Source organism: Homo sapiens, chromosome 4 (genome assembly GCF_000001405.40).
Source record: "Homo sapiens chromosome 4, GRCh38.p14 Primary Assembly".
Classification (NCBI taxonomy): domain Eukaryota; kingdom Metazoa; phylum Chordata; class Mammalia; order Primates; family Hominidae; genus Homo; species Homo sapiens.
Window position 1 is genome coordinate 174113739 of NC_000004.12, and position 15595 is coordinate 174129333.

A 15595-nucleotide genomic window follows, 5' to 3' on the forward strand; every position below is an offset into this window, starting at 1 on the left:
TTCATTGAAACTGTTCTGAGCTAAGCTGGTCTAATTTTCTTATGACATCAGGGCTTCCCATAACTGGGAATTCTCATAGCTTCATGATATCAAATGCCTGCACTGGCTTGCGTGTAGTCTGGAGGTTTCTCTGAAATTAATTTTTTCAAATCAAGAATAAAACAAATATGAAGAAACAAAAGCATAATAACTATCAGAAAGAAAATATGTATCCACATATGTTGAGACTAAATGCTATGTAATAAAACATGAGTCCTGAGAGAGAAAATAGCTAAAATATTCCATGCCAAGTGTATACTCACACTTGAGAAAAGCTTTTATTGGAAGAGTACTAGTGGTTGCATTTTCATAAGAAAGGTGAAGCCATTTAAAAAAACTCTTGCATGCTCCAAGCCTCTAGCAGGTGTGAAGGTGACAATCCCATTCATCCAGTAGGAACTACCTGGGCAGTTGAAACGATGTGACAGCTCCATTCTCTCTGTTGTGGACATCTCTACTTAGGTGGGATTAAAGCAGTAGAATGCATAGGAATATCTAAAAAAAAAAGTACAGTTTTATTCTGTTTCATCAAAGTGTCTGAAAATTGAGGAGTAGAAAGGAAGAGGGATAAATATACTTGGGGCAACACTGGCAGAAGCCAACATTTTAAAGCAATCATTGTTGATCTTTTGATTCTCCTCTTTTGGTTGTATTAGACATCTTTCCAAATCCTCCTTGTGTGAGTCTCGGAAAGATGCTAAGCAAACTTAAGCATTTCCTTCATGACTTGGCACACTTAAGGTGGTACCCTAGCCTCCCCAAAATTTGTCACTGCCATATTAGTCATTACGGTACTTGAAATTTTACCTCTGTTACATCCATTCAATTACATCTGAAGATACCCACTCTTGATTTATACTATAACCCAAGGCCCAACTCAAGCGACTTCTACACATAAATTGGACTTATACGCTTCTGCCCATCGGAACCCCCTTGTCCTGGCTAGTATCTGTATCACATTTATTTTAGGTGGTTTTATTTAATTTCTCTACTTACTATTAGCTTTAGTTTGTTCCTAGATTGTTTCATGATAAACTCCTGAGGACAAATAACATATATTACAATTTACAATTTTTTTTGTTTCACCAAGAGTAATATACAAACAAAAAGTAATAGAAAAGTTGAAAGACACCCAGCACTTTGGGAGGCCGAGGCAGGTGGATCGCTTGAGCTCAGGAGTTTGAGACCAGCCTGCTCAACATGGTGAAACCCCGTCTCTATCAAAAATACAAAAAATGTAGCCAGGTGTGGTGGCGCAGGCCTATGGTCCCAGCTACTTGGGAGGCTGAGATGGGAGGATTGCTTGAGCCTGAGAGGAGGATGCTGCAGTGAGCCAAGATTGTGCCACTGCACTCCAACCTGGATGACAGAGTGAGACCCTGTCTCAAAAAAAAAAAAAAGAAGTTGAAAAACAGAAGAAACACACCAGCCTCAATACCTCCTTTCTTATTGTGTATATTAATATCTTTTAAGGAAAGACTCCAACCTTAATGCCTGATTTCTAATGAATCTCATAGTGGGAATTACTATCTCAATAAGAAGAAAAGAAATAAAATTGGCAAACAGCAGAAGTCTTGAGATGAGCATTACTTCATGGTACTTCTTGAGATTTCTCCTATATTACCCAGTCTGCTTGGCATTGTCTAGAAAAGGAGAGAGCAAAAAATGAAAGCAAAAATGAATCTGAAATGTTAGATATTTGGAAATGAATGAGAGACTGGTTTGAAGAAATATAAGAGAACAAAGACATGCTTGCATTTTGAAAGCCGTTTTCCATAAATTCTTCAAGAGCTGAATATGCTAATTTAGCACACTGAACCGGTGATTTGATTTATCCTGTTCTGGATTTCTGTAATATAAAGAAATTATACTACAGTGAATGTCTAAAAATAGCAAAGTGCAACCAATCATGTTCCTTATTTATTGAAAACCACTAAGTGAACGTGACATGAGTGGTTCTATTCATGATATTGAAAGAATTCCTTTTTATACCTCACAGAACAGAAAAGCCTTTTATCCTTTTAATCAGAACAACACCTTTCCAGATTATCTAACAAGTCAGAAAACCCATTTCTTATAGTATGATATGGCATGTTTTAGGTTGCTGGTCAAAACCTCCTTTAATTAAATTGGTCATATATATGAACCCAAAGTATTTAGAATTAAGGTCTCTGTAGTAAGACTAACCCATTTAATTTTCTTATTTATGCTATTCATAACTGAAGGAAATTTAAAGAAACTGCTAAATACTGCCCATTAATTTTCTCCTTGCTCAATTTTGATGTAGAAATAATTTCGCTTTTATTTGTTTACCAAGAAGTACCATATTTAGGAACATTTAGCTAGACGTTTCAAAGCTATAAATAAAATTCTAACTTAATTCTGCAAACTGTTTCGTACCCCAATAACTAGAACCATAGAAAATAACTGGCTGGCTGCCAAAAAGTAAGGCGTGGGATAGAAAGCCTTTCTAGTATTCAAGTTTCTGAAATGAGAAATTTAAATGAATGCTCCTTATGATGTCAAGAAATCTCCATCCTGCTTAGTCCAACTCAAATATTTCCAGTTTTCAAGTTAGTATCTCTGTTTAAAATAAGCAAATGTGGATTGGTCTTCAGTGTTTGTCTGGATACTTTCTGGCAGTGGAGAAACGGGCATGCAAGGGTTCCCAGATTCACCCCACAGCCTCGCATTAGAGCAAAGGTGTTAATTTCCCTTGTAATTTTTCCTTCTCAATAACAGCATGCTCAAACCCAAATATTTCTCAGTATATTATTACAATTTTAAAAAATTGCTGGCTTATCCAATTCTGATCTGAAAAACCTTTCTCTAATTAGTGTCTTTGCAAAACTGAACTCAGGCAAATTTTAATCCCTCATTTACTGATTTTATTTTAATACTATTACTCAGCATATGTTGGCTGCATTAAACCATTACAGTAAAAATTAAAATGAAAGTCATATGATTTATTCCCCTTTAAAAGTGCTCAATTGGTCTAGTAAAAGTCAAGTGCCAAATACCAGATGTCGGATTTAAAAGAAATTCTGAACAAGAAGGAAAAAACCCTCCCATTACTCTCTTAAGATATTTAGTTGAAATTAATGCCATCCCAGAAAAAAATAATATTAACATATGAATACATTAGTCTGAATATATTTGATTTAAGAAAGAAGAGATGCAGGGAATAAAAATAAAAATATATTAATATTTATTGATTTAAACCCCGCTTTTGAAAACTACATTTGTATTGCTGTTACACACAATTTTCAAGCCAACTTGATATTTTACAAAGAAAATTAGAGTGGTTGTTTCAATTTAGAATGCAGAAGGTCAGAATAGGAAGACAAGAAATAGTATAGATACTTATATCAAGTTTTTATTACTTTTCCTCCAAACTTTTGTTTCTCCTCACTATTTATCAGCATAATTTTTAACCAAAATCCACTTCCTGGAAAAATAAACTGATGTGCTGAAGTTAATAGAAAGATATGTTCAAAAGAAATAGCCAAATAAAGATAACTACCTTTTCAGTTCTTATCATACTTTCAAGACAGCTATTTCATATTCAACACTCCTAAAACATAGTTATTCCCCAACTCCAGATCTTTGCCTACATTACTTTTTTCTTTCAAAAATTGCTGTTCTCTTTCCAACAGTTAAGACCTACACCTCAAAGATGGTCTAACTATAGCATTTCTTCCATAATTTTTTAAAAATTATTCCTCCCCCACCCACTCTGCCATAACTACAATGCTGCTATAGTGGTCACTGGCTAGCAATTCCCAAAACACTACTGCCTTTCTCCCTGGATGCGGCAAGATTACAGTCCCCGGCTTTCTTTTTTAGTAAGGTATGGCCATGTGAAAGTAGACTGACCAATGGGCTGTCCGCAGAAGTAGTTATACCCTCTGTATGGGTATTTCCTTTCACTGTGCTGGCTGCATTTGATTGGCAGTATGATCGTGGCGGAAGTCCGTGCTGGAGGTGGTAGTTCTGGGGTTCCTGATGGCTCCATGCGGTAGATCCTGCCCTCCTGTTCACCCCAAACCCCAAACCCAGCCCTCCGTCCTATTGAACTTTACATAGCATAAAATATTATACTGTGTTTATCCACTGAGATTTCTCAGTTCCTCAGCAGCTGACAATATCTTAACTAATGTAAGTAAAATTATGATCTCTCAGTTGACAGAATATACATAATATTTTGTGTTTTTCTTGTCACTGCCTATATTCTCCTTATTTGTTAATGATACCTCTTCTGACAAGTTCCTTAAAGTCAGGAACTCCTCTTTTTTTTCAGCTTTTATTCCTTACAGCCTCTGGTAATAAGTAGATGCCTAATGAATTGCTCTTTATCTGTCAATCTGAGTTTATTATGCTACCCAAAACTAACAGTCTCTTGGTTCATTCATTTATTATTTTATTCATTTATTTATCCAAAATATCTGTTGCATCTTTGCCATTTGTCAGTGCATTAGACACCTTTGGGATATCTTCCCAGCTCACATTAACTCCCCATTCGTAAGGGGTGACCTTCGACAATAGTCTCAGTGCCTAAGCTTGTGGCTGACTTGACCAGAGTACATTATCTCACTCAAGCTGGGCCAGTTAGATCCGGTCCCCAGGCAAGTTGCTAGGAAATAGCTAGTTCATCCTAGCTCATGACTGAAATTGTACTCTACCTACTTGAAAGCATTGGCAGCTATGTAATGCCACATTGACCTAAGAAGCCCAAAAAAGTATAGAGCAAAGAGGAAAAATAAAATAAGCACCCCCAAAACGTAAAACCCTGAAGCCTCTCCATGGCCTGTCTGCAATTATTTCCTTAGACCAGCCTGAATTCTACCACTGTGCTCTATAGCTTAACTATACATTACCTGTTTTGTATAAGCTATGTCAGGATGGCTCCTGTTACTTGCAACTAATAAAATTTTAATTAATAAAACAAGACATTTTGCTTTTCCCAGGGATACAATGATGAACAAGAGATATATAGCTCTTACTCTTATAGTAAAACCAGTAGGTGGCAATTCAGTAACTTTGCAAGGGAAAAAAATGAACTTATTTTTCAACCCTCTCAGATGCTGATTTTCCTTCCTTTTGAAGAAAAAGATTTGGGGGTGATTTTCATTTGTGCTACACATGAAACAAGAGTTTTATTATTCATGATAATATCACTTTCTCCTCTCCTAATGTTTTTTCTCTTGTTATTTTGCGATTCCAAAGTGTAACAAAAATTGTAAATTTAAACATCGGAAAAAGAAGTCAAATACATCTGTGTTGAAAAGAGAAAGGTGGGAAACTTTGAATTGGGGTGATGGTAATGGCGATGTGACAAAGTGGAAAGATATAAAACATTAGTGAGATGAAAGACGCGGAACTTAGGAACTAACTACACACAAGAACAACAGAGGGGAGAACCAAGATGGCTGTGTTTCAAGCATGAGTCACTAGGAAAATGGCGCAAGACCAGGATGCTGGTTAAAGGGAAAAAAATGACACATGGCATATTGCTGCATTTCAGAAAGTCTCCATTCTCAGGGTACATCAAGATATTTTGGAGATCTTTGAAAAGATACAATTGCCCCTCCTTCAGCCCCAGAGATGATGAATCCATTGGTCAGGAGTGATTCTGTGTATTAGTGTTTTTAAAAACCCATGTTGATGGGATTGAGAACAAAATTCATTTGAAGTGTCTGGCTCTTCCACAAAAGTATTTGCTTGTTTACTTTCTAAAAGATGTTTCTTAGTAGACTCTGGGGACTTCAAAAGTGTGGAGGGAGGAAGAGGGCAAGGGTTGCAAAACTTCCTTTGGGTACTATGTTCACTATTTGGGTGATGGGTTCAATGTCAGAAACCTGCATGTGTAGCCCCTGAATCTAAAATTTTAAAAGAAAAATAAATCAATTTAAAACTAAAAATTTTTTTTTATTTAAAATAGTAAAACACTGTACAGAAAACTTGAAAACCATGCCACTTAGTAATATGGAGTTGAAAATTAAGGCAGAAGATAAGAGGAGGAATGAAAAAATGAAAACAAAGCAAAATACCTATTAAGTAATACAGAGGATGGAAAGGAAAGGGTATATTCTGTAAGTCCTGCAGTTTCTTTTCCTTACCTCAGATACTGAAGCTTCTAACAGAAAATCCAGAAGACTCTGGGAAGTAGGTGAGGTTTGACTTCAATTCCTCTTCTTGCTGAATTCCCAATCTTTCCGTGCCTCTCACACCACACTCAGTAATTGCCTGTTGCTTTTACTTACACAGACACTCCTAATCACTGACTTCAGCTTTTCTCTTCATTGCTTTCTGGGATGGAAAAGAAGGAATAGTTAGCTAGGGAATTATCCAAAGCATCGTTAATAATTACCTACAAAACAATTCGCTTCTATAGCTACTGAATGAATGAATAAGTTGCTACATAAGAATCAACTACAATTCTTTCCTTTTTCTCCTCTTCAAAAGGAAAAAAGAGAAGAGGCATTATCTACTATTTATTAAACTGAACTTAAACAAGAGATGAAACCTAACGCAGCTTCTCCTCCCTTACAGAATAGGTAAAACAGATATGAATCAGTGAAGCAGAAACCATGTAATAGAAAAAGTGGAATATAATGAATTTGGATTTGATGATGTTTTACAAGCAGATATCGCAAGTCAAATTTCACAGCAGTAAAAACAACAGAAGTCCACAAAGGATAGATGAAAACATGTCTCTCTCCTGTCTCTCTCCAATCTCTGTGTGTGTGTGAGAGAGTGTGTGCGCGGGCGTGTGCGTGTGTGTGCGCGTGTGTGTGTGCGCGTGCGTGCGTGTGTGTGCGTGCGTGCGTGTGTGTGTGTGGTGTAGGGAGAGGGATAGATTCCTTTTCAAAAAGTGTCCAGAGGGGGAAAAAAAATGCATCATGCCACCTAGTGGCGGAAATTAAGTTGATTCCTTTTAACTCGACAAAGCGACTTTGCCTTTCTTTAGAAAATCAGATGAATTCATTAACATAGTGGAATCTTGATTTGGCAAACTACACAGTAGTTAAAATGTAAATACCAGGTCTATGTTTTAATTTTTCATCCACCAATGGCATTAAGAAATATGATGAACTTTAAAGAGCCCTGAAGTCAGAAGCAGGATATCTTTCCTTCTCTTTCGACCAGGTCACTTAACCACCCTGGAGCTCAGTTTCCTCCATAAAGGGCCAGAATAGATGAACTCTTAGCTCTTCAATTCCATGTTTCAAAGTATGCAATAGACCACATAATCAGGGTACTCTTATCTAATGCAGTTCCTTGTGACAAAGTCAGGCCACCATCTTCACTGATTAAACGCCGGATGACACAACATGCCTTCTACACTTTCAGCCTCATTCCAGTCACATTTTACAGAGTCCGTGCTTCATTGCAAGCCTTTCTTTATTACTGCTTTGCATTATTGGATGTCTGCTGCTGAGAGTCCCTAGATTACAATTCTTAACTTCTGTGAACTGCAGTGGTGCATATTTGTGATGTATTTTTCTAACTTACGTGAATGTCCACAAATTCCCCTTTGAAATCAAGTAAAGTATTCCTCCAAGAGAAAAAGAAATAGTTTGGAATTATGTAGCAATATTTTTCAGACATTGTGAAGTATAATTGCCCCTTTCTCCCACTCTCACTAATAATATACATCCATAATGATATACATCTGTGAATCAGATTTAGAAAGGGCATTAAAAGCAACAATTAATCTGGGCTATCCAGAATACATAATCTCCTACTAACTAATCTGTCCTTGTAACTTAGCGACTAAAGTGTGAACATTTTGTTTTAATTCAAAAAGAAATAAAATTTTCTTAAAATATAAGATTTTCTTTTTTATTTATTTTATTTTATGTATTTATTTATTTACTTTTTGAGATGGAGTCTCACACTGTTGCCTAGGCTGGAGTGCAATGGTGCAGTCTTGGCTCACTTCCACCTCTGCCTCCTGGCTTCAAGTGATTCCCCTGCCTCAGCCTCCCGAGTGGCTGGAATTACAGGTGCCCACCACCACGCCCGGCTAATTTTTTGTATTTTTAGTGGAGACTGGGTTTCACCATGTTGGCCAGGCTGGTCTCGAACTCCTGACCTCGTGATCCACCCACCTCGGCCTCCAAAAGTGCTGGGATTACAGGTGTAAGCCACCGTGCCCAGCCATAATATTTTCATTATTCCAAATGTGATGGAAAACCCATAACACTTAGCTGATGCAAATTGTTTAAAAAGTATCAGATACATAGATGAAAAGTCTTTTTAGTCAGATATTTGACTTTCTCTGCAGCAAAGCCTTGCCCCTCACCCTCAGCCCCAGCCAGCTGAGGGAAGAGTAATTAGCTCTCCAAAGAGAATAAGTGGTTAATGCAAGAACATGTTTATTTGCTCTAAGAAGACTGTCTTAAGGTTATATTCTCTACCCAGATTGCATCTTCACTGTTGACAACACAGTGTGTCACAGATGAAATTATGCTTGGGGTAAAATTAGTATTTCCTTCTCCAAACTGGAGATTAGAAAATAAATGGGTCAAGCATAGGAATGGGATAGTACACACATTAGCATTCTATGAACACACAGAGGGACTGGCAATTAGATTCATGGTAAATATTGCTGACATTCCCCTGATGCAAACTCACAAATATAAGAGAGAGAATTTTCTAGAACATGCTTATCAATGTATTTGTTTCTTTGTTCAACTCCCTTCTTAACATTGTCCAGACATCCTTTAAGCCTCCAACCTCCCCCAAAGACATGCATACAAACATATCCAAACACTTCATTTTTTCACGCAGTACCTTATAACACCTCTATTTAAGCCTTTAAATGATATGTTTACTTGTCTTTCTATCTCACTAGACTGTTAATTACAGCAGGCAGGGACCTTTTCTTTGTTAAACTTAGGACTTACTACTATGACTAGCATATAGTAGGCACTTTAACACCCTTGATTGAACTGAATGTACTGTGTTAATTTAAACAGTGCATTATTAATACTGGGACCAGATGAGTCTATCTTCCTCCTATGTCTCATTGCTAAGGAGCTGTGGATTCTCAATAGTAGAGTGTCACAAAGGGAGCAGCCTCTACTTCATTTGGAACTATTACAAAACATTGCTTTCCTCATGCTTTTTTTAGAGTATGGACAACAAAATTCTTTTCATACTGTTATGAAACACTTCTGATAGCTGGGCAACAGCTAGGAAGTCTCTTCAGTGAGGCCAGAGGCAAGAATCAGAGGATGTTATTCCCTTCATTTCCAGCGTATTATGTGGCAGGACAAAATTTTAAATTTCCTTCAAACACTTCATTCCTTCCCTTCTTCACCCATAGTAAGGAAGAACTTTTAGCATAATGACACACTGAAGTTAAACAATTAGACATGGTAAAATTTAGAGAAAGATGTTTGTTTCATTGTCATTGATATTTTTACTGTTCGAATAGTTCACTCTGGAAAAATCTCCAAAGACAACCTGAGCTTGTTCCTAGGATGAATTTATCTATTCCTATAAATGGAGCCAAGAATAAAAGTCTCAGAGCCTTTGACCTTAGCATGTTACTAAACAGAAGCCAGGACCTTGGAGCAAGGGATGGAGTAGGCAGATGGGTAGAAAAAAACAGGAGAATGGCCCCTTGACTTCTGTTTGAAGTGAACTCTCTGAACTAAAAGGTGCTGTGATGGAAAAACACTTGGCAGCACTTTCCAGATTCTATGCATCTTTATAATAAGCAAACATTAAGATTATTTTTCAGTAAAATCATCTTTCTGATAATGGTCTATATCCACATATCCTTCCAGATGTTGGAGGAAATAATGAAGTGATTACAGTCACTGGATTTCTAGACAAAGCTGAATGAACAGCAATCTTGGGGGGTGGTGTTTATTAAGGCATCAGCAAGTTTAATATGGAAGGAAGGGAGCCATTTCACACTTTTCTATCCAACTAGTAGCTAGCTTGTCTGACATTAGGTTGCTTGTGGATGCATTGCTTTGTCAAATATTTTTAGAACTTTAAAGGAAAGAGCACTTGTTGATTCCTCAATTGGATTGTCCACAGCTTGAAGACAAGCCGAAGACATGGTGATATTTATTGTTTCCTTCTATCTCCTCTGCAATCTTAACCTTCCACTGTCATCCACAGATAGTATTTCTCCCCAAAACAAATTGTACATGTGGATAAACTCTTGAGTTTGTTGTGCACAGAATGATGCTAATACTGGAAGGAGTTTAAAGAGTGCAGCAGGGTGGTAGAAAATATAACTGTCATGATGAAATGTGGAGGTAATTAAGGCAAGTGTAAAGAATTACAATTTTGTGCCTGATGATTTTTAAATAATAATAATAGTCACTATTTACCGAGCATTGATCAGGTGCAAATTACCATGCTAGATCATTTTCATATGTCACCTAATTTCATTCTCACAAACACCCTGTAATATTGAATATTACTAGCCTGGACTGGAGGGACTGACTTGCCCAAGGTCACTCTGTATGTAAGTGGCAGAGCTGGTACTCAAACCTGGATCTGTCAGACCCCAAGTTCCTGATTTCAGCTTCTACAAAGAAAAACATTTTCTGTGCTTCACCAGGAGTGTGTTTTGGTTGTTTGTTTGTTAGTATGTGTATCTATTTATGTGAGAGGGATTGTAGTTTTACTCAAGATAACTTAAGAAATGTGACAATAGAGATAGATACGATATTCCAGACAATGTAAAGAATGTCATGGTAAGGTCCCAACAAAATATTTTTAAATCAAGGGTATATTTCGCCATATTTTTTACTATAGGACCAAGATTCATTTTATCTGGGGATCCAAATATTCATGGCTCTATTTGTATGTCTCACAAACCTGGAGCTTGATGAGTCCAAAACAAAGCACTAATTTTCTACATCCCATCCATGTCCCCTTCCTCCCCCGCTTATTCTTAATCTTGGTTGGGGGAACAAAAATGAAGCCTCCAAGACAGAAGCTTGAGAATGTTATTTAACTCCTGACTACGATGGACTCCTCACCAATCTCACTTTTCTGCCTCCTATTTCTCCATCCCCTTCTTCTCAGCTCCTTTTTAGGAGTTTCCTTCTGCATGCATCTCTTCCTTGCTAGTGTTCCTGCACTCAGCTTTCTTCTCACTTGTCTCTCTCTTCTCTCCTTATGTAAGTCCACTGATGCTTAATGCTTTGCATACCATCTTAACATGCTAATAAATCCTAAATCTGTGTCTCCATCCTAGAATTTTCTCTTTCTCTATCTTCAACAGATACCCAAAAATTAAGATCTCTAAAGCAAAATTTTGTTATTTCCCTCCTCAGAATCTGCACTTCCTCCAATATTTAAATGGCATTACCATTCATAAAATTGAACAAGCCAGAAACATAGTGGCATATTTATCTCTCCTCTTTACTCTTCCCATCCCTGCCTAAACACCAAACCCTTCACAAGTCCTGCTTACCCATCTCCTAAACATTTCCTGAGTCTTTCCACTTAATACCATCCCCTTTGCCACAGTTTCCTAGTTCAACGCCCCCATCCCCAAAATTCTTTCACACATGTTATTGCCCAGCACCTTAGATGGTCCTCTTGCCTCCAGGCTTGAAAGGAATAGATCCTTTCAATCTATTCTCTATTTGGGGTAGAGTTGCTGGAGCATGCAGAGAGTATACTAAGGAAGAGAACAGGCAGGTAACTGACTCTACTATCTCATTCTAATACACTATATCTTACAGTTAGAAGAAACATTAAAAGCCATTTAAGCCAACCATTGCATTTTAGATAATGAAATCAAGGCCGATGATATGCATAACATCTCTTTTCTAAGTCAGTACTACTCCTTTACAATTTACGCTCTTACATTCTGTTGAGTTTCACATGTTCCAGTCAAATGAATCATGCCCTTTTCTGACCAGATATTAAAATGAATCCTTCATAGTCAGAAACGTTTTGAAGGTAAATAAACTGAGTAGAAAACTGGGAGCATAAGCCCCTCTGACAATAGATCAGAGGGTACTTACTTCTCCCACTGTATTTTTTCACATACAGTCAATTCCGAAGCCAGTGGACGTAGTTGATTGCACTTAGAGGGATCCTCACTTTTTTGCCTTGTGCATTTTGCTGTGTTACATGTGACTATATGAATATAAATTTAAATTAATGAAATGAAATGAAAAATTTAGTTCCTCATTCACTCAAGCCATATTTCAAGTGCTTAGTAGCCACATGTGGCTCATGGCTACTGTACTGGGCAGCAAAGATGAAGAACATTTTCATCACCGCACACAGCTACATTGGGCAACACTCATCTAGTGCTCTGTAAAACTGACCACAATACCTCCTGGCCTAGATTCAGGTAGGAAAAAAAACAGCCTTGAATGGAGTAATTAAGAGAAGGAATAGAAACTTTGGAAACCTTAGCCATACAATACCCTTTTTAAGAAATGCTACTCCTCCAAATCATGACATCATGAAAAATTGTTTTCTGAATGAAACAAAGTATAAGCATCTATGGTTGGTATGGTTGAAGATAATCAACAATTTTCATTGAGAGAAAATCAAGATCCCAAACATGAAAAAATAGACACCTTTCCCTTTCAGTGCCTGTTAAGAATCCAATGATCAAAAGTAATTGCTCATTAATTTTACAATCAGAGGTAGTGAGAAGGGTCAAAAAGTCACCAGGGCCTGATAGAACCGTAAAAATGAGTTTTGCAGAGACATGCCAAGAAATATTTGAAATCACTGAAAAGAATGGAGCTTCACTGAGCTGCCGAGTCCTCCAAATAATGAAAAACAGCACAATAGGCCATCAATTTCAACAGCACCTAAATGAGTCACATATTATGGCTGATATATATCAGATGTATTTTTCTTTTATTTTTATATAATGTCATCTTTTAATAAAATGTTTTATTTTAAACTTTCATTTAATTAAATAAATTCAAGTAAGCTTTATTAAGAAAAAGATGGCATCAAACCATGTATTCATAACTTTTGGGCTAGTAAATAAATATGGTGTCCATATGTGAGTTGAACTATGAAATTGCCACAATTTAACTATTTTTGCCTTACAAAAACAGCAATTTCATATGATTCAACTACCTGATTTAGAAAAGCTATTTTTAATCTTTGAATAAATAAAATGGAGTGTATGTTAGACCTGAAGAACAAATATCATTTTGCCCCAGTATTTTAAATGGAAAAGAACCTTTAAATTCTCCATTTTAACCTTTAGTCTTTATGATTCTCTGAAATGATATAAAAGAATGTTACAAAGGCAGCACTATCTACCCCCTAAATCTGCTATTGCTTGTCAAATTTCAATTAGTGAAGGGAAAAGCATGCATTATAGCTGTAATATGTTGCCTTGAAGTTTAATTTTCATAGTTCTGTTTTTCCAGTTTGCAGTACTGATGGTTCACCTTCCTTAGAAAAATAGGTATAAGGCAAGTAGCCTCAAGCAGTGTGTAACAAGCTACTTTATATCATGCTCATTTAAAATCCATGCTTCCTCACCACTTTTTAAGTTGATCAGCAAGGAGACATCAGGGATGTTGGCTTTGGGTCTGTGGGGGACTGACGTAGATTAGTATATGGAGTCACTGCACCCCTGAGCCCAGTTTGTGACCTGAAATATGGTCGTGAATTTAAGCTGATCACCAGGAGTTGTAACCTTTTGGATTCATGCCTCACAGAAAGCATTAGCCCTTCACCTGAACTTGCAACTAAGGAAATAACCTTATTGGAAGACCCATGGCAATTGGGGCTGTTCTGGTTCCATCAGGAGCCGAGAGATCAGAGAGCCAGCACAGTCCACTCTCACCCCCAGCCTCTACAGTTCCATTCCCAAACCTCAGAGAACACGCTGCCCTGCTGGCAGCACCCCTTCCACTTTCCTGTAACCCACACCTCCTGCTGGAGACACTCAGCTGCTGCTGATCTCTGAGGAGCCCCACAACTGCGGAGGTGATCCTTTCTACCAAGAAAGGTGTCTCAGTGCCTAGGGCCACTGGCCTGCCCCCATCAAAATCTGTACTGTCAGCCAAGAGGAAATTGAAAAAGCTTTACACCACAGGGCCCTAGCCTCATAACCTAGCATGCCTTTCATGGAACATCAGGTTAAGAAATGAGCATCTCACCTTCTGAAGATGAGTTTCTACAGGGAGCGGCAGAATGCTGGCAATGTGGGGAGTTGGGAGCCACACCCGGCTCTCATGATTTAGACACACCTCCACTAAGCTGCCCTTTACCCTCCACTGCCATTGACAATCAGAGTTACGATGGAACTCGGCAGCTAACAGGGAAGGCTTGGAAACTGGGATGGGATTTGAGTGGATTTATGAACTTTCTGTTACTTAGAAAGTGGGGATCTTGCGTATCTGAATTAGGAGGACTGTTTGGAGTAAATGAATTATACTTTTAGAGTGCAAGGTGAGGCTCCAGTTACACAGGCCTTTGTGCTTAATTTGGTTTCACGTTCTACTTCTTATAGATTTATCAAACAATGATTATCTAAAATGAATATCTAGACTAGCAGCTTTGGTCAAAAGAAGGGATTCGTATAGAACATCTGACATGATTGTAGACATAGAAGCTCACCATTTTTTTTTAGGAAAAATTGAACATCAGATCTTGTAGGAAATTTTCTTAACAAAGCTTAGAACTGTCAAATGTAACAATATCCAAAAGTATTTTAAATTGGTTATTTTATCTGCCCGAACTATTTAATTTTAATCAAAATCTTAACAAAGTTTTGAAGCTGAAATAATGATCACAAATTGTTTGGGATCATGTGTGGATCATGGGGAACATACTGTTTCTTGTTTCTTCTTTTATTTTTTTTTTTTTTTTTGGAGATGGAGTCTCACTCTGTCGCCCAGGCTGGAGAGCCAGTGGTGCCATCTCGGCTCACCACAAACTCCGCCTCCTGGGTTCAAGTGATTTTCCTGCCTCAGCCCCTGGAGTATCTGGAACTATAGGCGTGTGCCGTCACGCCCAGCTAATTTTTATATTTTTAGTAGAGATGGGGTTTCACCATGCTGGCCAGGCTGGTTTCGAACTCCTGACCTCGTGATCCGCCTGCCTCGGCCTCCCAAAGCGCTGGGATTACAGCCGTGAGCCACTGCGCCCAGCCCACTGTTTCTTCTTTAACCAAGTTCTATGGTAGTCATATACAATGCTTTGTATTTTACATTCACACCATCTGTATTAAAGGAAAATATTCAGATAATAAGCATTAATTAAGAAAAACTGCTTCCAATGGCCAAAATTGGGACAACATGGGCATCAAAAAAGTAAATGAAATCAATTAATACACATTGAATACATATACATTTTAAAAGTTTATGTTTCTGTAATACTGCAAATAAATGAAAAACCAAACAACTCAAAACAACCTGTAGGCAGCATAGGAAATAACTAGAGCACCAAATCTTCATTGTTAAAATATGAAAATCAAGATTTAAGCTGACTTAAATGTATAAATTACCTTTGCACCGTTCTTGTATGAATTGTATTTCCAGCCATTTTTCAGACAGGTAAATTTGATTATGGACTGCATATT

The 15595-nt window shown here is 37.6% G+C and overlaps 1 long non-coding RNA gene across 1 annotated transcript in view; it reads right to left on the reverse strand.

Annotated features, from left to right (window-relative positions):
* The window catches only part of LINC02268 (long intergenic non-protein coding RNA 2268), a 125739-nt gene that overhangs the window by 19079 nt on the left and 91065 nt on the right, over positions 1-15595 (reverse strand). Inside the window, exon 2 of the long non-coding RNA NR_125896.1 lies at positions 6159-6348. This is a non-coding gene — a long non-coding RNA (long intergenic non-protein coding RNA 2268). The remainder of the gene's footprint in view (positions 1-6158; positions 6349-15595) is intronic.